General features: G+C 39.4%; 2 protein-coding genes and 2 pseudogenes across 8 annotated transcripts in view, besides 3 other annotated features; 2 read left to right on the forward strand and 2 right to left on the reverse strand.

The window, feature by feature from the left end:
- On the reverse strand, positions 231–4,342 carry TSPYL4 (TSPY like 4). Its single transcript, NM_021648.5, has one exon. The coding sequence runs from the start codon at positions 4,273–4,275 to the stop codon at positions 3,031–3,033; it is 1,245 nt and encodes a 414-aa protein (NP_067680.3). The 5' UTR covers positions 4,276–4,342; the 3' UTR covers positions 231–3,030.
- Positions 3,914–4,073: an enhancer, noted in NCBI's record as "active region_24981". NCBI's record gives its function as "activates an Ori minimal core promoter by ATAC-STARR-seq in GM12878 lymphoblastoid cells {active_cell/tissue: GM12878}" and the evidence as "EXISTENCE:reporter gene assay evidence [ECO:0000049][PMID:35858748]".
- Positions 4,438–23,984, forward strand: part of DSE (dermatan sulfate epimerase) — a 190,691-nt gene continuing 171,144 nt past the window's right edge. For 5 of the 7 annotated variants that reach the window (NM_001374520.1, NM_001322937.2, NM_001374521.1 and 2 more), the window contains exons 1-2: positions 4,438–4,650; positions 8,713–9,234. The gene's annotated coding sequence lies outside the window, so the exon portion shown is untranslated. Of the gene's footprint in view, positions 4,651–5,106; positions 7,013–8,712; positions 9,235–23,984 lie in introns of those variants that run through there. The other 2 variants (NR_136520.2, NM_001322938.2) reach the window with 2 other exon arrangements.
- Positions 4,484–4,713: an enhancer, noted in NCBI's record as "active region_24982". NCBI's record gives its function as "activates an Ori minimal core promoter by ATAC-STARR-seq in GM12878 lymphoblastoid cells {active_cell/tissue: GM12878}" and the evidence as "EXISTENCE:reporter gene assay evidence [ECO:0000049][PMID:35858748]".
- RPS5P1 (RPS5 pseudogene 1) lies at positions 8,712–9,454 on the forward strand (annotated as a pseudogene).
- On the reverse strand, positions 8,712–9,454 carry LOC100287430 (ribosomal protein S5 pseudogene; annotated as a pseudogene).
- Positions 21,393–21,894: an enhancer, noted in NCBI's record as "NANOG hESC enhancer chr6:116592289-116592790 (GRCh37/hg19 assembly coordinates)". NCBI's record gives its function as "activates a minimal SCP1, AML or CMV promoter by ChIP-STARR-seq in naive H9 embryonic stem cells {active_cell/tissue: H9 hESC(naive)}" and the evidence as "EXISTENCE:reporter gene assay evidence [ECO:0000049][PMID:30033119]".

The raw sequence follows: 23,984 nt of genomic DNA on the forward strand, positions 1-23,984 counted from the left end.
ATGGTGCTTCAATTACCACCAAAAACTGCACTGGTTATGTAGAAAAAATAATGCTCATGAGTATGCAGTTGCAGTTGGGCTCCCATTTACCATTTTTCAGGTGAAAAATCTTGGAAGGTTTGGTGGCTGTTGCCTTTTTTTTTTTTTTAAACTTTCAGGATGATAGTTACTGGTATCATTTGATAACTTTAATGATTTCCCAACCTTAAATTAACCTAGACAACACAGAATTTTTTAAATTATTTTTATTTTTTGATGAAAACAAGAAATACGGTAGTGACACTTTATTTTTCCTTCAAGCACATGGGAGAAGACAAAAGTACTAAATGATCATTGAGTTTGACAGAGAAATTCTACTGGTACTTACACTGCTTAGGAACATAAATGTCAAGTACATTACTAGGGCAAGAAATATCAAGTAAGACAACAGAGTCGTATTTTTCTTTTTGAGGTTATTTTCACAAGACATAGCTATAATTTGTAAAATATTCAGACTATTGAAAGATCACATTCAAATTATATTTCTAAGAATAGAGCCATATATGAACAGAGAGCAAAACAAGCTAATACATTAATGAATATTCACTGAATTCTTCATACTGCACAGGACACAAATTTGGTATTTTTGCACATGTTGTCAATTATAAGCAAAAAGCAGGCCTGTAAACATCAATTTTGTCATAGGCTGAAACAGAGAAAGGAAATGGATTTTACTCAAAAACAGTGACATAAGGAGCATATACCATTAATCTTCCACACATATAAAGGTCACTCCTAGGATAATTGAGAGAAAACATCGACTTACATTTTGTTTACAAAAATCTACTGGTGAATTCAAGGACTTAGGAAAAATTGAAGGAAAATCTTCCTCCAAGCATGCTATTTAAACCCCAGCCCCTCTTCCCTGGAGAGCACCTCAGGGGCCTCCCCTCCCACCCCTGATCCTGCAGGTTCTTTCCTGTGAGCCTTTCCAAACCCACGCCACAGCAGGCTCATTCCTGCTCTGGACTTTTACTCAGTTTCCCAACCTAGATTAACCTCTCCACTGTGTGTGTTCAGACCTCCTAAACCCTCAGGTAGCTTAGGGCAAGGCCTTCAAAACCAAAGGGGAAAAGGGTGATGGTGGATGGTCTTTATCACCACACATGATCATAACTAAGCCTTGACGGCATCACTGTCCCACCTACTGGAACTTGTCCGTGAAAATCCACACAGATGCTGCACATCCCCTTATCCCCTACAAGGAGGCTGGAGATCTTCCACAATGCAGGCTGCAGCCTGCTTCTTCATTTGTTAGGAGCAGGGAAGGAAATGCAGAAGCTGAGAAATGAGGGCCAAGAAAGCCAGGCAGTAGGATGGAGACCCAAGGGACATCAGGGCAGAAACAAAATAGTACAAAGGAGAAGAGTGACCTACAAAATGCTACCCTAGAAGCAGTCCAAGGCCCAAAAAAGAATTTCCATCTTTAGAAAAGTGGAGTGAGGCTAAGTTTTGGTTGCCTTTGCTCACATCACAAAGGCCTTTGCCTTTGACCCGTCCTGAACCCATCACTGTGAGGCCCTTCTCTCTCTTTCCAGCTTCTCAAACTAAAAACTCAAGAAATACACAGGTTTTGGTAGAATGGATGGGGTAAAAAGATAAATATGTCAAAATCTGCCTAATTTAACACTGCCTATAACTAAACAATTAACCTATAGGTCTCCCTTTGAAACTTTCAGACCTTGCTAAAAGAAGTGGGGTGGAGGAATAAGGGCAATAAGAGATCTGGAGCCCATTTAATCATAACCTTTCTCTCTGAACACAATCAGGGAAAGAGCAAATTAAACAAAAAGCCTGCTTTGCCAGTTTTGTTTTCTGTTAATAAGCTAAAACTGCTTCAGAGTGAAAGGGAAGAAAAGGGATGGGAGGGAGAGGGGGAGGGAGAGGGGAGGAGGAGGGAGAGAAAGAGACAGAGGCATAACAAGTCTCACATTCCAGAAATATCTCTTCCTCAATGCCCCAACTCTGGCAACTTTTGTCATGTTCAGAGTGGGTGCAGGCGGGGAAAAGAGGAAATGCCTAAAGAAGTTGCTCACATTAAGGATGGTTTGTTGGCTAGGAGTCAGAAAGACTAAGCTGGAAGGGACTGCGTTCCAGCCTTGCTTTGGGCTCTGTCACATATTACTGCCCATCCTGGTGGTAGGGGGTGTTGCTGTGAGCTCCCTGGGAGCTACGTCTACAGATAGTTCCTGATGAGGCAGACAATGGTGGCCTAAGCAAAGTTCAACCAGAAGGTGAGAGTGAGTAGGGGTGGGCTATAGCACAGGCTTCATACTCACCAGCAGCTGGTCATGACGTAGAGTAACCAAAGGTACAGGAAAACCAATGTGATAACATAGAACACTTTTCATCTATTACCTCAGTCACGCCTAGCAGTCACCCATCAGCCACCAGCTTGTTCTATCAGATAACCAGTAGGGTGGATGGCACAAGCCCAGGAAGGCAGCTGGGATCCAGTTGGTGGTAGTCTGGAATGTCCAATTTGGGTTGATGGCCGGGTTAAGATATCAGTTTTGTCTTGCAGTGGTAATACCCAAATAGCTTACCATAAGTACATGGGTATCAGGACACAGCCAGCATAAAGTATGAAGCCCAATCAGTTATTTGTGAAAATGTATCAAGATTCTTTGTGGTACAGAACCACTTAAATTGGGAGAAGAGCATGGTCACAGATAGGGTCCAAGCCATGCAAAGAAAGGCAGTATGGTACACTATATCTATAGTATCATACGCTTGGCATAGAAGCCGTAGAAGGCCATGCACTTGAAACATGTTAACACAATGCAGAAAAGCATGAAGGCCCAGAGGAAGAATGGCACAGGCAGGTAAGCCAACAATCTTGCAACCGATTACTGAAGATTTAGAACCAAAGGAAAAGATAATCCACAGTATGAAGAGAAAGCAGATGGAAGACTGCATGCTGTTGGCCAAGCATAGGTCCAAGAGGAGGTGGTAAGGAAACTTGTGCAGAAGCTTCTCACAGGACAGAGATTAGCCAGACTGGAACCTGAAGGATCTGGCGCTCTCCACTGGCTGCCTTGGTGGGCCTCGAATTCCTCTACGGGGCCCTTCACCCATCAGGTAGTATTGTAGGGGATTGGGCCACAGTTCTCCTTTGATAATCTCTGCAATTCTGTCGAATTCTAGAAGGCTGTGGTCTGAAAACCAGTTGAAGAAACTAGGGATAGTGTTCCCTTCCCGGTTTCTGTGGATATGAGCCTGGGGGTCTTGGCCTCGGTGCCAGCGGATTGGAGTGGAAAGAGACACCACCCGGCCAGAGGATCTGCGTTCATATTCCTTGACAAGCCCCTCATTTCGGAAGTAGGGGTTGCCCTGAAAGATGAACTTGAATTTGCAGCCTGCTCTGGGGTGTTTAAGCTCCTCCACCTCCAAATTGATCATGTACCTCAGCATGTCTTCATCTTGGCCACTGATCATAGGTGACAGCTGGGGGTGGTTTCGAAAGGCAGTAACCCAGAAACCTGGGATATTCTGGATAATGAAACTTCTGCGCTGCATGTGGAGCCTTCGCATGCGGCCAAACTTGCGCTCAAGCTGAAGGAAGGCCCTGTCAGCCTGGGCATTTACGTTTGACAACTCTTGATCGATGGCCTCCAGTGAGTCCATGCAGTTATTGATCTTCGGGGCCCTGGGCCGTGTCTCCTCTTTCACCCCTCCTGCCACCTTTTTTTCCTTCTGCACTACCTTCTTTTCCTCCATCGCCGCCCCTGCTTCTCCCTCCTTTTCCACTGCTGCCGAGATGGCGCGTTTTTTAGTCGTCACTTCCTTGGCCTTCTTCCCCGGTATCATCTGAGACCCCAAGCCCCCTGCGCCACAGGCTTCTAGAGCCTTCTGCCCAGCAGGGCCACGGGGCTCTCCAAGCTGACAGCCATTTTTCTGGCTGCTGTCAGCAGCCTCGGCGGCAGAGGCTGCTTCCAGACCTTTCGTAGAAGGTGGAGCATCCTCCTGCCCGGCTTTGGTCGCTGCACCGCCGCGACTCCCGGCAACTGGGACGCGGAGCGCGGGGCCACAGTCGACAGGATCCTGGGATGCACCCCCCTCCGCAACGGTCTCCAGGCTGCCCCCACCTGTGTTCGCCATCACCTGTGTCGCCTCGGTTTCTTCACGGAGCCCTTGGCACTGGTCTCGGTCCGGATCTCCTGAGGCATGGTCGGGAGCAGCCAGGCCGCCGGTTTGGGCGAGAGGGAGCTTGTTGCCCCCATCCAGGCCGCTCATTTTGGAAGAAGTCAGACTAGTGGGAGAGGGAGAGTTCCTTGTCCTCCGCAGCGGCCGAGCTCTGCCCGAAACGTCTAGCACCACCCCTCCTTTACTCTCGGCGGTGCTACCATGGCAACTGGTGATGTCAGGGCGGTAGCGTCGTAACATCGCGCGAGAACTCTCTGCGCGGTTGACTACGCTTATCAATCCATCGTATTCCTTTGTCTTCTTGTCACAAAAAGAATTTCGTCAGTCTGGAAGGGGAGTTTTACTTACGTAAATGGATGTAGACCAGACTCAAGCATGTAAGAACTGTGTTAATGTGGATTTCTAAGCCTCTGAATGAATTTCTAAGGCACCTAACCTATTGTTTCTGAAAATATTTACTTTAAGGTGAGTTACTGTCTATTCAAGTCAGTTCATAGGGCTTCTCCTGAGTAGGAAAGTGGATTCACGAACTCACAGGCCTTCCTTCTTTTAAGGTGTGGATTCATGGCTATTACCAAAGAATTTAAATGAGCAGAGTTTGATTTTAAAGAGAAGTGTTGCTGTGTTGTTATTTTTAAAATTAAGGAGCAGCTGAAAGGCAAACTTCTCTCATCCTAACAAGACATAATAAAGGAATATTTCAATTTGTCTTACAGATTTTAAAGTTTATATAATTTGGCCAACATCTACAAAACAAGTGGACAATATTTCCTCTTCACTTTTAACAAAGAGTAGCAAAATGTTTTTCCTTACGTAGAGGTGACTGGCACACGAGCACAAATTTAGGCTTTTAAGCATTACTGAAAGAAATATCTCAGGGGATTTTAATTTCTAAACTGATGCATATGTTCTTTTCCTCAGGTTACAATCTTAATCTAAAAGTGGTTCCTGCTTCATAATGCCTGTGGACATGAAGCTAACAAATCTTTTCAAAATGTGTTCATGTGGTAATTCACTGCAGCACAGGAGCAATAATCAGCTATGTGCAGGCATCTATGCTACTGTCTCTTAAAATACTTTAAAAGTAAGGTTAGTTATTGTCTATTCGAGTCAGTTAGCTCTTACAATTCATTTGATAGTGATTATCAGTACAATATATTAGTTTGTTGGAGTGTGAGAATAATGGTGTTAATCCTTAGAAAAATGCAAGACCAAAGGGAAATTTAAATTTTGCATATTTATGTTTAATGTCAAATTTATATTCAAATAAACGGTTATGATTATAACTCTTTGTAAAAGAAACTCCATTTTAAGCCCCCCAGATTATGATCACTTTCAAATACAGGCTCAGAAGTACAGATTTAGAGAAAAAGGATTCCTCTTAGAGGAATACATCATATATACTGAGACTTCTAGCGAGGGAAGGAGTGTAGTTCTGGTTCAACTAAGATAAAGTACTGATGAAAGGTCACTGGCAGACAATACGGAGAAACAGCCTGCCTTGCAGGATTTTTTGTATGCCTAGTCAGCCTACCCAAGGACAATGTGTCCAGAATGACCTCTTTACTGCCTGCCAGCTAATCAGTTATCCCATAAGAAATATGCAAACAAGATTCACACAGCAGAGAGCAATTATTTTTCTCTCCCTCTTTCCTCTTTGTCTTAATAAACGCTCTTTTTTTATTTGTGGGGTGAAATCAATCTATTGAGGTATCGTCTTTGTAAACACATAAACAGCGTGCTATAATTGACTTTGTGACTTTGAATTATTGACACTGCTCTGTTTCTTTTCCAAAGAACCTTTGCACTGTTGAAAGAGTAACTTTTCCATTATAACCTGAGTCAAGATGAAGAGAAGCAGGGAATACTGAATGAAAGTTACTTTTCCATGCAGCAGGAAAAAACAAGTTTGCTACTATACAAATTTATAGAAAAGTATAAAATTACATGTGAACTTCTTTTTCTTTTTGTGTGTGCCAAAGTTTTTTAAAGATTTATATCTCTACTACTCAAAGCATTCCCATCTCTAGCCTGTATTAGTTCTGTCACCTGAATCATTTTTCACTCATAACCACCTGGCCATTCTTTAACACTCAGTTCATGTAGATTGTACTAGGCAGTTTAAATACATTAGATTTTATAAACAAAGACCCAGTGAGCACAGAGCAGTTAACATGCCCATGGTCACATATGTATTAATTGGCAGATTGCCTCCTCCCACCTTATTACTTTACCTCCTTCCTTAATTACTTGCCATTTTGACAGTCTTCTGATTTCTGTATAGCCCTTATGACTTTTACTATCCAACTTAGTACAGTTACGTTTCACTGAATGACAGGGATTTTGTCATTATGGAAACATCATACAGTACATCTATCAAACCTAGCTGCAATAGCCTACTATACACCTAAGCTAAATAGTATATCATATTGCTCCTAGGCTACAAACCTGAACAGCATGTTGCTGTACTGAATACTGTAGGCACTTGTAACATAATGGTAAGCATTTTTGTATCTAAACATAAGAATGATACAGTAAAAATAGAGTATTACAATTGTATGGTCCCACACTTGTATATGCAGTTCATCTTTGACCAAAATGTTATGCAGCAAATGACCGTACTTATTTATCCTCTACTTTTTAACTTTATTGGTTGTTTCATTAAGGTCAGTTTTATCCCAGCTAGATAATGACTGCATAGCAGCTTCTGTAGCATCTACGACAGTATAGTCCAGTTACTATCTCATAGAATGTTTTAATGAATCTTGATTATTTAAGTGAAAATTTAAATTTAAATAAAAATTTTAAAAAATTTTACCAAAATGAATAGTATGACTACCCTTGTGTTTCATTTTGAGGTGGGTGGATATATAATAGTAGCTATGAGTTATATTTTACATTTTTTGCACATTAGAATAATATATATTTTGTACACAGTAAAGTCTATTCTACTGGAAATTGGCAATAAACCTTACTAAGCAGAAAAAACTACATCAGTGACTTATGATTCTATGGGAAAATATCGATAGAAAATGCCATGAAAATCTATGAGGTAATTTTTATTTGCAAGGAGAAAAGATATTTAATGGAAGTTCAAACATAAATTAATACAGTCAAACAGGAATGACTTTACTAAAGTATAAAGATTGGAAAATTTGTGAAATATCCCCTATTGTTACATCTTTGACCAGCAGTTTCTTTTTCAGAATGATATAGTTTCTGGTTCATTATTTAGTGTTTTCTATATACCATATACTTTTATGTGCTTAAATGTGTATCTCATTTAATTTTTACAAGGACCCTGTGAGGTGATATTATGACCTCCCCTTCCCTATGCCTCAGAAGAAATTGAGGCAATGAGAAATAAAGTGGTTTATCCAAGATCACACAGCAAGTGGTAGAGCCACAATCTGAACGAGGTAATCTGACTGGAGAGCCTGTGCACTCATTCACCATAGTATTCTGCAACCTTACACAACCCATAAAATGAAAAGCCACCTTCTTAGAAATAAGACTACATGACCATCCCAATTTAATGTTGAACTTTCTTCTTTATCTTCTTTTCCTTTACCTGTCTTAGTCCATTCAGGCTGTTGTAACAAAATACCATAGAGTGGGTGGCTTGTAAACAGTAACTTACTTCTCACAGTTCTGAAGGCTGGGAATTCCAAGATCAAGGCACCAACAGATTTGGTGTCTGGTGAGGGCCTACATCCTGATTCTTAGACTGTAGTTTGTTGTTTTTTTGTGTTTTGTTTTGTTTTGTTTTGCTGTGTCCTCACATGCAAAAAGGAGTGAGGGATCTCTCTGGGGTTTCTTTTATAGTGGCACTAATCTCATTAGGGCTCTAACCAGAGGTCTCTTTTATAGGGCACCGATTGCCCCCCAGAGGACCCCAGCTCCAAATACTCTCACATTGGGGATTAGGTTTCAATATATTAGAGGGGACAAAAACACTCAGTCTATAGCCTGCCCCCATCCATAAAATTAGTGACAATTGTTGAGGAAGTGCCCAATTACTAAAGAGAAACAAGAATTCATGATTCTGTGTTTCAATGCCTTAACAGTTCTCAGCTCATCAGATATAACATTTATTTTTTACTTTTATTTTATTTTTAGATGGAGTCTCGCTCTGTCACAGCCAGGCTGGAGTGCAGTGGCAAGATCTTGGCTCACTGCAACCTCCACCTCCTGGGTTCAAGCAGTTCTACCTCAGTCTCCCAAGTAGCTGGGATTACAGGCACCTGCCACCATGCCCGGCTAATTTTTTTTTTTTTAGTAGATACAGGGTTTCACCATATTGGCCAGGCTGGCCTCAAACTCCCAACCTCAGGTGATCTGCCCGCCTTGGCCTCTCAAAGAGCTGGGATTACAGGTGTGAGCCACCGGACCTGGCCAGATATTTCTTTTTATAACGTGCTTTATAACTCCCTTTTCCTTTCTTGAAATTCATATTGTATATCAACATGCACATTTTTTAAAGTCATTATAATAACTTAGTTGTAATTTTTTTGCTTTTTTTGGTAGGGCTGCCCTGAAGGGCAGACAGGTTTATTGGGCAACAGCTGGGAAAATCAGCGGTTGGACTTGGCCACATGCTCCAAGAAGGCCACACGTCCTTCTTCTTAATGGCATAGGAGTTGGAGGAGCCCTTGGCAGCATTGATGAGCTCCTCTGCCAGGCACTCAGCAATGGTCTTAATGTTCCGGAAGGCAGCCTCACGAGCACCTGTGCACAGCAGCCAGATGGCCTGATTCACACGGCGAAGTGGGGACACGTCCACAGCCTGTCGTCTCACAGTCCCGGCGCACCCAATGCGTGTGGAGTCCTCCCGGGGACCACTGTTGATGATGGCGTTCACCAGGACCTGCAGAGGGTTCTCGCCTGTGAGCAGGTGTATGACCTCGAAGGCATGCTTGACGATGCACACAGTCATGAGCTTCTTGCCGTTGTTGCAGCCGTGCATCATCATGGAGTTAGTAAGGCGCTCCACAATGGGACACTGAGCTTTGTGGAAGCATTTGGCGGCATACCACCCTGCACTGTGAGGTAGGTACTTGGCATATTTCTCCTTCACTGCAATGTAATCCTGCAGGGAAATGTCACTGATGTGCACATCATCAGTGCTCCACTTCCCAAAGAGCTTGATGTCTGGGGTCTCTGCCACTGCTGGTGCTGCTGTCTCCCACTCAGTCATCGTGAGAACACAGCCTGAGTGTCTCTGTTGCTCGACGTAGACCATGCGCCACCCTGGCACAGACAGGAAGAGCAAACTTACTTGTAATTTAAAGGAAAAATAAAAGGAAAGTAATTTTTAAAATATCTATTTTAAAATATAAATGCTTTGACATGCCAGCACTTTACAGCATGATAAATTAGTTAAATGGTTATACCTGTAGACTTACCAGTGTATGAAACTACTGATGCAACTCGATATAGGTGTATGGTACTAGAGACATAAGCAGCAATGCTCTTCTGAGATAGATTTTCTGAAATTTTGAGCAGCTTTATGATAAAGTTCTGGAGGAAAAGGACAAAATTTCTTCAATTCACATTTATATCTCTTTGATTATAAGACACATCTTTTTTCCCCACATTTTATTTAAGTTCAGGGGTATATGTGCAGGATATATAGGTAAACGTGTCACTGGGGTTTGTTGTATAGATTATTTCATCACCCAGATATTAAACTTAGTACCTATGAGTTATTTTTCATTATCTTCTCCCTCTCCCAACCCTCCATCCTTAGATAAACCCCAGTGTGTGTTGTTCGTCCATGTGTTCTCATCATTTAGCTCCCACCTATAAGAGAATTCGTGGTATTTGGTTTCCTGTTCCTGCTTTAGTTTGCTAAAGATAATGGCCTACAGCTCCATCCATGTTCCTGCAAAGGACATGATCTCATTCTTTTTTATGGCTGCATAGTATTCTGTGGTGTATATGTACCACATTTTCTTTATCTAGCCTATCATTGATGAGCATTTAGGTTGATTCCATGGCTTTGCTATGTGAATAACACTGCAGTGAATATAGACATGCATGTGTCTTTATGATAGAATGACTTATATTCCTTTGGGTAAATACCTATTAATGGGATTGCTTGGCCAAACAATCTGTCTGTTTTGAGGTCTCTGAAGAATCACCACACTATATTCCACAATGGATGAACTAATTTCTACTCCCACCAACAGTGTATAAGCATTCCTTCTTCTCCACAACCTCGCCAGCATCTGTTTTTTACTTTTTAATAATAGCCATTCTGACTGGTATGAGATAGTATCTCATTGTGGTTTTGTTTGCATTTCTCTAATAATCAGTGATGTTGAGCTTTTTTTTTCACATGAATATTGGCTGCATGTATGTCTTTCTTAGAAAAATATCTGTCCATGTCCTTTGCCCACTTTTTAATAGAGTTCTTTGTTTTTTCTTGTGAATTTAAGTTCCTTATAGATGCTGGATATTAGACTTTTGTCACATGCATAGTTTGAAAAAATTTTCTCCCATTCTGTAGATTGTCCTTTCACTCTGCTGATGGTTTTCTTTGCTGTGCAGAAGCTCTTTAGTTTAATTAGATACCATTTGTCAATTTTTGCTTTTGTTGCAATTGTTTTTGGTGTCTCTGTCATGAAATCTTTGTCCATTCCTATGTCCAGAATGGTATTTCCTAGGTTGTCTTCCAGGGTTTTTATAGTTTTGGGTTTTACATTTAAGTCTTTAATTCATCTTGATTTAATTTTTGTGTATGGTATAAGGAAGGGGTCCAGTTTCACTCTTTTGCATATGATTAGCCAATTATCCCAGTACCATCTATTGAATAGGGAATCCTTTCCTCATTGTTTGTTTTTGTCAGGTTTGTTGAAGATCAGATACCTGTAGGTGTGCAGTCTTATTTCTGGGTTCTGTATTCTGTTCCATTGGTCTACGTGTCTGTATTTGTATCAGTACCATGCTGTTTTGGTTACTGTAGCCCTGTATTATTGTTTGAAGTTGGGTAGTGTGATGCCTCAAGATTTGTTCTTTTTGTTTAGGATTGCCTTGGGTATTTGGGCTCTTTTTGGCTTCCATTTGAGTTTTAAAATAGTTTTTCTAGTTCTGTGAAGAATGTCAATGGTAGTTTAATAGGAATAGCACTGAATCTATAAATTGCTTTGGGCAGTAGGACCATTATAACAATATTGATTCTTCCTGTTCATGAGTGTGTAATGTTTTTCCTTTATGCATCTCCGATTTCTTTGAGCAGTGTTTTGTCGTTATCCTTGTAGAGAACTTTAATCTCTGTGGTTAGGTGTATTCCTAGGTACTTTATTTATTTATTTATTTATTTGTTGAGACAGAGTCTCACTCTGTCACCTAGGCTGGAGTGCAGTGGTGCGATATCAGTTCACCGCAAGCTCTGCCTCCCAGGTTCACGCCACTCTCCTGCCTCAGCCTCCCGAGGTACTTTATTTTTTTGTGTGGCTATTGTGAATGGGATTGCCTTCCTGATTTGGCCCTCAGCTTGACTGTTTTTGGTGTGTAGGAATGCTAGTGATATTTGCACATTGATTTTGTATCCTGAGACTTTGCTGATGTTATCAGCTTAAGGGCTGAGACTATGGGGTTTTCTAGATACAGGATCATGTAGTCTGCAAAGCGGGATAGTTTGACTTCCTCTCTTTGGATGCACTTTCTTTCTTTCTCTTGCCTGATTGCCCTGGCCAGGACTTCCAATACTGTGTTGAATAGGAGTGGAAAGAGCAGGCATCCTTGTGTTGTGCTGCTTTTCCAGAAGAATGTGTCCAGCTTTTGCCTATTCATTATGATGTTGGCTGTGGGTTTGTCATAGATGGCTCTTGTTATTTTGAGGTATGTTCTTTCAATACCTACTTTGAGAGTTTTTAACATGAAGGAGTGTTGAATTTTATTGAAGGCCTTTTCTGCATCTATTGATATAATCATATGGTTTTTGTCTTTAGTTCTGTTTATGTGATGAATCACATCATTAATTTGTGTTTGTTGAACCAACCTTACATCCCAAGGATAAAGCCTGCTTGATCATGGTGGATAAGCTTTTTGATGTGCGGCTGGATTTGGTTTGCTAGTAGTTTGTGGAGGACTTTTGCATTGATGTTCAGCAAAGATATTGGCCTGAAATTTTCTCTTTCTGTTGTATCTCTGCCAGGTTTTGGCATCAGGATGATGTTGGCCTCATAGAATAAGTTAGGGAGGATTCCCTCCTTTTCATTTTTTTTGGAATAATTTCAGTAGGGATGATACTAGTTCTTCTTTGTACATCTGGTAGAATTCAGCTGTAAATCTGTCTGGTCCTGGGGTTTCTGTTGTTGTTGTTGTTGTTGTTTTGGTTGGTAGGCTTTTTATTACTGATTACATTTCAGAACTCAATATTGGTCTGTTCCTGGATTCAGTTTCTTCCTAGTTAAGTCTTAGGAGGTTGTATGTATCCAGGAATTTATCCATTTCTTCCAGATTTTCTACTTTATGAGCATAGAGGTGTTCATAATATTCTCTGATGGTTGTTTGTATTTCTGTAGGATCAGTGGTAATATCCTCCTTGTCACTTCTGATTGTGTTTATTTGAATCCTCTCTCTTTTTATCTTTATTAGTCTAGCTAATGGTCTGTTTTATTAATGTTTTCAGAAAACCAGCTCCTGGATTCGTTGATCTTTGAAATTTTTTGTGTGTCTAAATCTCCTTCAGTTCAGCCCTGATTTGGTTATTTCATGTCTTTTGCATGCTTTAGGATTTGTTTGCTCCTGGTTCTCTATTTCTTCTAGTTGTGATATTAGGTTTTTAACTTAAGATCTTTCTAACTTTTTGATGTGGGAATTTAGTGCTATAAATTTCCTTCTTAACATTGCCTTAGCTGTGTCCCAGAGATTCTGGTATGTTGTCTCTTTATTCTGATTAGTTTCAAAGAACTTCTTGATTTTTGCCTTAATTTCATTATTTACTCAAAAGTCATTCAGGAGCAGGTTATTCAATTTCCATGTAACTGTATGGTTTTGAGTGAATTTCTTTGTCTTGATTTCTAATTTGATTTTGCTGTGGTTCAAGAGATTTTTTGTTATAATTTCAGTTCTTTGGCATTTGCTGATGAGTGTTTTACTTCCAATTATGTGATCAATTTTAGAGTATATGCCATGTGGGAATGAGAAGAATGTATATTCTGCTATTTTGGGGTGGAGAGTTCTGTAGATGTCTATCAGGTTCATTTGATTCAGTGCTGAGTTCAGGTCCTAAATATCTTTGTTAATTTTCTGCCTCAACAATCTAATATTGTCAGTGGTGTGTTAAAGTCTCCCGCTATTAATGTGTAGGAGTCTACGTCTCTTTGAAGGGATCTAAGAACTTGCTTTATGAATCTGGGTGCTCCTGTGTTGGGTGCATAGTTAGGTCTTCTTATTGAACTGAATACTGTTTTGCCATTATGTAATGCCCTTCTTTGTCTTTTTTTTTTTTATCTTTGTTGGTTTAAAGCCTATTTTGTCAGAAGCTAGGATTGCAACCCTTGCTTTTTTCTGTTTTCCATTTGCTTGGTGAATTTTCTCCATCCCTTTATTTTGAGCCTATATATGTCATTGCATGTGAGATGGGTCTCTTGAAGACAGCATACCAATAAGTCTTGATTCTTTATCCAGCTTACCATTCTGTGTCTTTTAATTGGGGCATTTAGGCCATTTACATTCAAGGTTAGTAATGACGTGTGTGGATTTGATCCTGTCATCATGAAGCTGGCTGGTCATTTTGCAGACTTGTTTATGTGGTTGCTTTATAATGTCCCTAATCTGTGTACTTCAGTGTGTTTTTGTAGTGGTCAGTAATGATCTTTCCTTTCCACATTTAGTGCTTCCTTCAGGGGCTCTTGTAAAGCAGATCAGGTGGTAACAAATTTGGCATTTGCTTGTCTGAAAAGGATCTTATTTATCCTTTGCTTATGATGCTTAGTTTGGCTGGATATGAAATTCTGGGTGGAAAATTCTTTTAAGAATGTTGAACATTGGCCCTCAATGTCTTCTGGCTTGTAGGATTTCCACTAAGAAGTCCACCATAAGTCTGAGGGGCTTCCCTTTGTAGGCAATCTGCCCTTTCTCTCTAGCCACCTTTGACATTTTTCTTTCATTTCAGCCTTGGAGAATATGATGATTATGTGTCTTGGGGATGATCTTGTGAAGTATCTTACTGGGGTTCCCTTTATTTCCTGTATTTGAATGTTGGCCTCTCTCACTAGGTTGTGGAAGTTCTCATGGATAATATCCTGAAATATGTTTTCCCAGTTGGTTCCATTCTCCTCATCTCTTTAAGGGACACCAATGAGTTGTAGATTTGGTCTCTTTACATAATCCCATATTTCTCAGAGGTTTTGCTCATTCCTTTTCATTCTTTTTTCTCTATTCTTGTCTGACTAGCCAGTCTTCAATCTCTGAGAGTGTTTCCTCTGCTTGGTCTATTCTACTATTAATACCCATGATTGCATTATGAAATTCTTGTAGTGTGTTTTTCAGCTCTATCAGATCGGCTACAGTCTTTTCTATACTGGCTATTTTGTCTGTCAGCTCTTGCATTGTTTTATCATTATTTTCAGCTTCCTTGGATTGGGTTTCAATGTACTCTGGTAGCTGAATGGTCTTCATTCCTATCCATATTCTGAATGTCATTTAAGCCATCTCAGCCCAGTTCAGAACCCTTACTGGAGATGTGAGCCCATCCTTTGGAGGAAATAAGGCACTTTGGCTTTTTGAGTTGTCAGGGTTCTTGTGCTGATTTTTTTCTTATCTTTGTGGTCTTGTGTTCCTTCAATCTTTGAGGTTGCTGACCTTTGGATGGTTTTTCTTTTATCCTATTATATTTGATGAACTTGAGCATTTGTGGTGTAAGGTGGACTCAGCCAACTGGCTGTGTTTCTGGAAGATTTTTATGGGGCCAGCACTCAGCTCCCAAGTCCTACACTTCAAGCTGTAATTCTGGGGGAACTTATATTAGGCCCTGACTTTGTTTTCTGGCTCCTCAAGGTTAGGAATTCACTGTGTTGGGGGAACTGAGGTGCTCCCGGACCACTGTTCACTACACTTTGATGGGTGGTATCAGCCAAAGTGTTTCATATTGCAGCAACAGGGGGATCTGTCTTCGTTCACATGTGCCAGCAGCAGTGGTAGTAACAGCTGCAGCAGAGTGCTAGCAGGTGCCATGCTAGCAGGCGCCATGCTAGCAGGCATTCACCACAGTGGCAGAGGAAATGCAGCTGCAGGGGTGGGGAGTGGAAGGAGTGGCCCCAGATGGTGACTGTGTGCACAGTCATGCTGGAGGTGGTGTTGACTCAGGGGTGGGTCACTGATGGGCACAGGTCTGGGTGCCTTTTCTGTGCCCTGCAAGCAGGAGTGATTGCTCAGGGCAGGGAAGGATCTGCTGTTCTCTGTGTAGTGTTAGTGCAAGGGTGGGGTGCTGGCAGGGACTGGGCTGGCTGGCTCTGTGCCCACCAAGGCTCTGTCTACAATGGCAGTCAGCAGGGGGAGTGGAGTAGACAGCACTCCCACATGCTGGTGGGGCAGTGAAAGCAGAATCTGCCCATACAGACGTGCTAGCAAAGTGATGTGGGGAGTTGGTGTGAGCCCAGGGGAAGCTGCATTATGAGGAGAGAGCATGCAGGCTGGCACATGGCTGTAGTGGCCACCCCACTGGAGCTCCCTGCTGGTTAAGCATGGTCCACCAGCACAGAAGGTATGGTGTGGGCCCCCAGGGAACCCGAGACCACCCTGCAAGCAGGAATGGCCAGGCTGGGGCCCCAGGAGAGGCCAGCAAATCAAGGGGTGCTCAAGTCAGACCTGCCCAGTCTGATGGACAAGACCACTCTGCAGAGTTCAGATCTGACAGTTCCCCTAGGGTTAACATCTCCTATGTGAGCAAGTCAAGCCTAGAGGGGACAGCCTTCCCTAGTTGTGCTCTGCTACAGATGCTCCCACATCAAACCCTCTGGGTTCTGCATCAGATGGCTTGCTGCCCCTACCCCTTCTCTAATTAGCTCTCTCTGCCACCTTGAGTGTCCATGGTGGTCAAGGGGTTCCCTTCTGCCAGGGTTCCAGAGGCCGCGTGAGAGTAGGTTGCTCCTTGCCAGTTCAACTCACCCATTCCCTTGGAGCCAGTGGAAGCCAGGAATGAGTCCTGGTGTGCAGTAGCCCCATGCAGGGTTCCCAGCTTTCTCCCCTTTTAACCCAGTTTCTTTTTCCACACTTTAACATCTCTGAAATGACTATCCATGATATAATCAATGGCATCTTACAACTGCTACCAGCAGAACAGCAGTCATGGTATACTAGTCATCCAGGAGGTGTGAACTTGGCTGTTAGTCTTGCCGACATTATTGGACAACTGCAACCTCTTGACGTTTCAATCAGTAAACTCTTTAAGAGCCATTTGAGGAAGGAAAATAAGCCTTATTTGTTCCCTGAAAATATTCTGTTGATATCTTCTGGTAAAGTCAAGAAAGTGCCAGCATCAAAACTTGCAGAATGAGTACTGGAGGCTTAGGGGAAAAAATCTCAGAAGCATACTGTTATTAGTAGTAGAACATTCTACTAAGATATGTTGTCATCATCAAAATTATTCAAGAATTTTGAATAGTAATTAAGATTACTATTATAAATGGGAAAATAATTAGAATAGTGAAACTAGTTTATTTCACTCATAATTTACTTTGTATATATACCTATGAGTGATATATGATAAAACTACATTTTTAAAATCAAAAGGTCTTTCAATATGTATACAATAAAAATCCTAAGAATTAGAAAGCTTTGTGTCAGAGTTTAATTGAAAGTTATTTTCTTTCTTTTTCTTACTTTCTTTCTTAGTGTTAACTAATGGCTTATTTTACAATCAATACTTTTAGAGCAGATGAAATAAATCCTTGTAAAAATACAGCACATATCTAAAAAGTGCAAATTTTTTGTTTTCATATGTGAAATACTCATGTGCCACATAATGATGTTTCATCAAATGATGGATCACATATCCAACAGTAAAATTATGATGGAGCTGAAAATTTCCTATGGCTTAGTGTCATCACAGCCTGAGTAATGCTGTAGCCCTCATAAGGTCATAGTATAACTCATTACTCATGTATTGGTGGTAATGCTGGTATAAACAAACCTACTACACTGCTAATCATATAAAAGTATAGCACATACAATTAGGTACAGTACATAATACTTGATAAAACATAAATGACTATGTTACTGGCTTATGTATTTACTATACTATATGTGATTGTAGAGGATACTCTTTCTACTTATTAAAAAGAAAACTTAACTGTAAAATAGCCTCAGGCAGATCCTTCAGGTGGTATTCCAGAAGAAGGCATTTTTATCACAGAAGATGACAACTCAGTATGTGTTACTGCCTCTGAAGACCTTCTATTGGGACAAGATGTTGAGGTAGAAGACAGTGATATTGATAATCGGGAGCATGGCTATGCCTAGGCTAATGTGTGTGTTTGTGTCTTCATTTTTAACAAAAAAGTTTAAAAAGTTGAAAAAAAAGAAAAAATATTAGAAAAAAGCTTATAAATTAAAGATATAAATATTTTTGTACAGCTGTACAATATTTGTGTTCTAAGCTAAGTGTCATTATAAAAGACTCAAAAAGTTTTAAAAAGTTAAAACATAAAGTAAAAAAGTTACAGTAAGCTAAGGTTAATTTATTATTGGAGAAAGAAAAATTTTTTTATAAACTTAGTGTCCCAAAGTGTACAATGTTTATAAAATGTACAATAGCATATTAGTCCATTTTCACACTGCTATAAAGAACTGCCTGAGACTGGGTAATTTATAAAGAAAAGAGGTTTAATTGACTGACAGTTCCGTATGCCTGAGGAGCCCTCAGGAAACTTACAATCATGACAGAAGGTGAAGGGGAAGCAAGGCACATCTAACCATGACAAAGCTTGAGAGAGAGAGAGAGAGAGCAAGCCACATACTTTTAAACCCCCAGATCTCATGAGAGCTCACTATAAAAAGAACAGTAAGGAGGAAGTCTGCCCCCATGATTCAGTCACCTCCCACCAGGCCCCTCTGACATGTAAGGATTACAATTTGAGATGAGATTTGGGTGGGGACACAGAGCCAAACCGTATCAAGTAGTGTACAGTAATGTCCTAGACCTTCACATGCGCTTACCACTCACTCACTGACTCACCCAGATCAACTTCCAGTCCTACAGGCTCCATTAATGGTAAGTGTCCTATACAGGTATACCATTTTAAAATATTTTATGCCATCTTTTTACAGTAGTTTTTCTATGTAGATATGTTAGTTACACAACATATGTTAGATATGTTTAGTTACACAAATACTTGCCATTGTGTTCCTATTGCTTATAGAATTCAGTACAGTAATATGCTGCACAGGCTTGTAGCCTAGGAGCAATAGACTATACCATAGAGCCTACATGTGTAGTAGGCTATAGCATTTAGGTTTGTGTAAGTATATTGTATGATGTTTGCACAATGATGAAATTGCCTAATGACACATTTCTCAGAATGTCTCATTGTTAAGTGAAACATGACTGAACTGCTATGTTCTAGACTTAAAAAATAATGAATTTTTCATCTACATGAATGTTTTGAGCTGGAAAATTATTTTATATAGGGCACTATCCCTCACATTCACGATGTCTAGCATCCCTAATGCCCTTAATGAATACCAGCTGCAGCCCTATTCATCGTAATAACCAAAATTACTACTGAAAATTTCCCAAATATCCCCTAGAGGGAGGTATGCATATACATTGAGAATCAAGTTTTCTAAATGCCTGTAGCTGTGATATTCCCATTCCTGGTCACTAGAGGGAGGAAGTAGTCTTTAGGATGATAGTACGATTCTGTTTTGTCTGCCCTCAAAGTTCAAGTTTAAGCTGATATAGATCAGCTTGGCAAAAATAGATCATATTTCAGTAAAATAACTGTGGCATAGTTTCTCACATATGTTTGGTACTCTTTATTATTACAATGGAATCACATTTCTATTTTATTTAGGCTATCACTGTTACAAAAGTAATATTTTCTCAGGCTAATTATCTAGTTATGATCACTGCCTGTGATAATACTTTAAAAAAAAAAAGAAAAAAAAAAACCTCATATGCTCCTGCTTTCACCAGTCTTAAGAGAAACCAGAGACAAAGGCTCTGACCTGAATGACCCCACACCTTTGTATGCTGGTTAAAGATGCACCCTTTGAAATCAAACAGATCTGACGTCAAGTCCCAGTTCTGTTACTTACTAGCTGTTTAATTTAGGCAAGTCACTTCAGCTCTCTAAGCCACAATTTACTCATATACAAAATGAATATAATAAAACAACTTACAGAATTATCATGAAGGTGAAATGAGATATCTGTGAAGTGTTTTTCACAATATGCTTTCAATAAATAGAAGCTGACTTGCTCATTTTTATTATTTTTATGCTAAGAATTACATTAAATAAACAATATTGTAGGCAGTATAAAATCAATGTCAAATTCTATTATGAAACTGTAATTGTATAAAAGTTGAGAAACAAAAGTCATCCATGTAAAATAAGTGAAAGGTTTGTGGAAGAAAAGAAGAGTTGAATTGGACCAAGTAGATTGGATACCATTTGAATAATCTGAGGAAGTCATGAAACACTAGCACATAGTAATAATGCTTGTCCACTATGTTACAGTTAATTCCTAATGATTCTAGACATATGGTATTTTGGGCTGATAGGGAAAACAACCCTTTTTGCTCTAACTAAAGTGCTTTACCACATTCTTCCACATATCACTTTAAAGACTTTATAAAATATATTAAGAAAAAACTAGATGCATGAAATACATACTTTTAATAGCTGACTTTAAGCAGACTTGGTTGCTCAAAGTCACATTTTCTGTGAGGAACATACAGTCTGTATTTCAAACCAAGTTTGACCTGAAAATCTTTGCTTATAATAGACTAACACATTCAGTTCATCAATATTGGATCAAGACTGGAACACAGCCACTCTCTGAAATCACATTCCAATTAAACATCTACCATGCTAAGAATGTAAGATATAAAGATGAAGAAGACACAGTCTTCTGCTCTGATAGAGTTATACTTTAGTAAAGAAGAGCTAAATACAAATAAATAGAGAGTAAAAAATTTCTGGGAAAAGAAAACAATTCTGGAAAAACAAGGTACTGAAATATGATTACACCTTGTAAACATTCTATTTCTGGGAGCTGCAAGGCCAAAAATAAGCAAGCCCCACTCTTGCCTAATATACTCAGTGCTCAATGCTCACCTTGAAATTACATTTCCCTCATTGTTGATGAAATTGCAGAGGAGTTATCAAAACTGACCCAAGAGAAGTTTGGCCATTAAGCAAAATGGTTAACAACAAGAGCATGTTGTACCATGCACCTGTTTTTAAAGCCATCTGAACACAACTCTTAATTGTATTGTCCAAGGTTAAGTTGGAGTTTGGTGAAGAGGATGATAATTAAGTACTACATGCCTCTTATAAGTAATCGCTCTATTGACTAAACCTCAATAAATATACATTATTTATTTACTAGTGATATCAATAGTTCTTTACATCTCAGCAGCCAAACTCCAGAAGAATATTAAAATATTTGAACTGCTTTGGTCCATTCTATTTCTCTGGAAAGTACAACTAAGCAATTTAATTCAGGCAGTAGATATAAAAAATTACATTTTTAAAGACAGGATACAGTTATCTGATAGGATTTGGAGACCTTCTATTGTTTAACATAAACATATCCCTTTTAAAAGCTACTTGTGAATGAATTAGGAATAACTTTCAACTAAGATCAAGCTATTCAAACTTAATTAGGATTTTAGATATATTTTTATGGCAAATTTAGTTACAAGCTGCTTCAATATGGTGCAAAGTGTCTTAGCTGGAAATGAGAAACCCTAATTGAATGCAGCCCATGTTACCTTCGTCTTGGATAATACACTTCTCTTTCCTGAGCCCCTATTTCCCTATCCATTAAATGGAGATAGTGACACTGCAACTACAAAATGAGAGCATATATGGAAGTTACTGATATATCTAATAATTTGTTGAGATTGTGAAGACAGAGATATGTACTTGATGCAGAATTAGATATCCAAAGCCCAAATTGTGACCCCACAGGGTAGGGAACTTATTTGTGATTAATAATATAGGTAAATGTCTTGTTTTGCTTTATTTTGTTTTTATAATGGTAACAATTAAGGAAACTGAATCAACTGGAGATGAAGCAGAAGCAGCAGCTGAGTTTAGGACAATGGTTCCCAAATGATTGATAGCAGGCATTAGAATCACTTGGCACATTGGTTAAAACCGGTTTCTAGGCCTCACCTTCAGAGTTCTGTTTCAGTAGCTCATGGGTGGGGTTCGAAAATCTGCATTTCTAACAAGATCCAGGTGGTGCAGATACTGCTGGTCTGGAGAACACTCTTTATGATCCACAGCTTTAGGGTAATGGAAAGGAGCAGTTGGAGCTGAAGAAGTCAGAGAAAAGCATCTTGTAAGCATCTAAATGGTCAGAAATGGAAAAGGAAGCTCAGAGAGATTCTTGAGAGGGCCCCAGGGAATGTCAATCCTATTTACAGGACAATATGTCCTAAGCAGACTTCACTTCAATGACCAGAGGATGACAGACCTCAGTTTGTAAACTAAGAGAATCTTGAGAAAGGTCAATTTTGGCCTGGAATTGAAAGAGAAATAAGTTTTTAAAAAGGAATTTCATTATTAGAATTATAAATAAAATCATGCAACAGTAAGAACTCACAAATAAGATCTTGTAAGTAGAGTCAGCAATTTTTACCACCAAGGAAGAGAAGCCAAAAGACTGGAGATGGGCAAATGAAGTTCTATTTTTTAAATTATCAATAATATTTTAAAATCTATTTATTGAGGTATAATTTACTTACACTAAAATGCATAAATCTTAAATATATACTTGGACAAGTTTTGAAAAGTGGATACACCTGTGTTATCACCCAACTCAAGATATGGAGCACTATTACCCCTGCAAATGTCCTCAAGCTTTACCGTTACTCCCCTCAACCTTGAGGCTACCATTCCTGGGATTTCTATCACCATAAAAAAGTTTTCTATGCTAGTGAATTTCATATACATGGAATCATATAATATATATTCCTTTGACATCTTTCACTTAACATGTCTCTGAGATTCATCCATGTTGATGATCAATAGGTTGTTCCTCTTTATTGTTGAGTGGTGTTCCATTGTATGAATATACCATAATTTGTTCATTCACTCACTTGTTGGTGAACATTTGGGCTGTTTCTAGTTTGGGGCTGTTATAAATAAAACTGCTATGACCATTCCTGTGCTACATGTAAATTATACTTTATTAAAGAAAACAACAAATACCAAGTATCTATTAAAACATCTTTGGACACTTTAAAAGAGCAAATAGTGATCAACAGAAGTAAAGCATATCACTAAGAAATCATTTCCTTTTTTGGCAAGGGAATTTCAAAGACAGACGACACCTGCTGTTATGAATTTTAAAGACCTCTTTTGTTGAATTCAGGTTAATTCCATTCTGCAAGACCACAGGGGGGAAACTATGAAATAGATATACTGAAACTCTACGATATACCAGGCTCTTTGCAATAGCTGGATGTTTATAAGGTGGCAAATTTGAATCAATTTGACAAAACTGGGAAGGGAGTATGTATTCCCTAACTTAAGGAGTTCAAGAAAAGGTAAGCCATGATTCTCAAACTCAGCTGCACTTTAGGCTGTAATTTAATTGGTTCAGGGTAGAGTCTTGGCATCAGTATTTTTTGAAAGCTCAAAGCTATATATAATGATCAGCCAGGTTTGAGAACCATGAAGCTAGATGACTATTTGTCTGAATGTAAATTAAATGAGAAATTAAAATTGAGAGGAAGACAAATGGAAATTTTAATTGATTGCATATTATATGCTAGACATGATGCTTGCTGTCTAACCTCTATATTATAACTATATTAATACTTGAAATCTCTTAGCACAGTGTCAGGCGCAAAGTAAGCTCTCAAATGTTTCTGTTGTTATCTTCTCTGTAACCTTATAATGCAGTCTCCAAATGCATCCTAAAACATTAGCTTATACTGCAAGTTTTATCATCCCTACATTATGGATAAGGAAACCAAGATTCAGAGTAGTTTATTTTGGGAAATGCAATACATGGTAATTGTAAAACCGGGATTTAATCCTAATTTAAAGCTAGTATGCCTTCTCTGCCCATCAGGTCATATCTAAGACATATAGGTGTTCACAAAAATTAGTAACTTACTTAAATGACCCTTTCCTTTTTAATTGAACCATTTCCTTTTACCTGTTCTCAAAGAAATTACCTTAAATACAAATCCTAAAAAAAGTGAAGCCAAAAAGTAGACATCCACATTTTTCCTAATGTGGCTTGATAGAAACTCTTCTATAGGTCTTGACAACCTCTGAGGTCAGAGAGAATGGATTAAGATGGCCCTTCAGAGCTCAAAGCACTTAACATGGAGAAAGTACTGCTTCCAAGTAAAACACCTCCCATAATAATAAATGCATAGAGAGCATACCTGTCACTTCTATATAGTCTAGGACTTTAATTATATAATAATGTTGAAGGAAAGGAAGTCAGTCCTGAGGGGGATGGTCAACTCCTCTCAGCCAGGCTGGTCCTCTCTGAGTTTGCTTGTGTGCAGTAGATGTTTTGAATGTGTGTATTTGCTGCAGAAAAAAAGGAAACATTCAAGGAACGGTACCCCCCTCAATGAGCCTGAGTTCCTC

This window comes from Homo sapiens, chromosome 6 (assembly GCF_000001405.40).
Source record: "Homo sapiens chromosome 6, GRCh38.p14 Primary Assembly".
Taxonomy (NCBI): domain Eukaryota; kingdom Metazoa; phylum Chordata; class Mammalia; order Primates; family Hominidae; genus Homo; species Homo sapiens.

Coding starts and splice junctions, on each gene's coding strand:
- TSPYL4 (NM_021648.5), bottom strand. CDS start 4,275: ATGAGCGGCCTGGATGGGGGCAACAAGCTCCCTCTCGCCCAAACCGGC.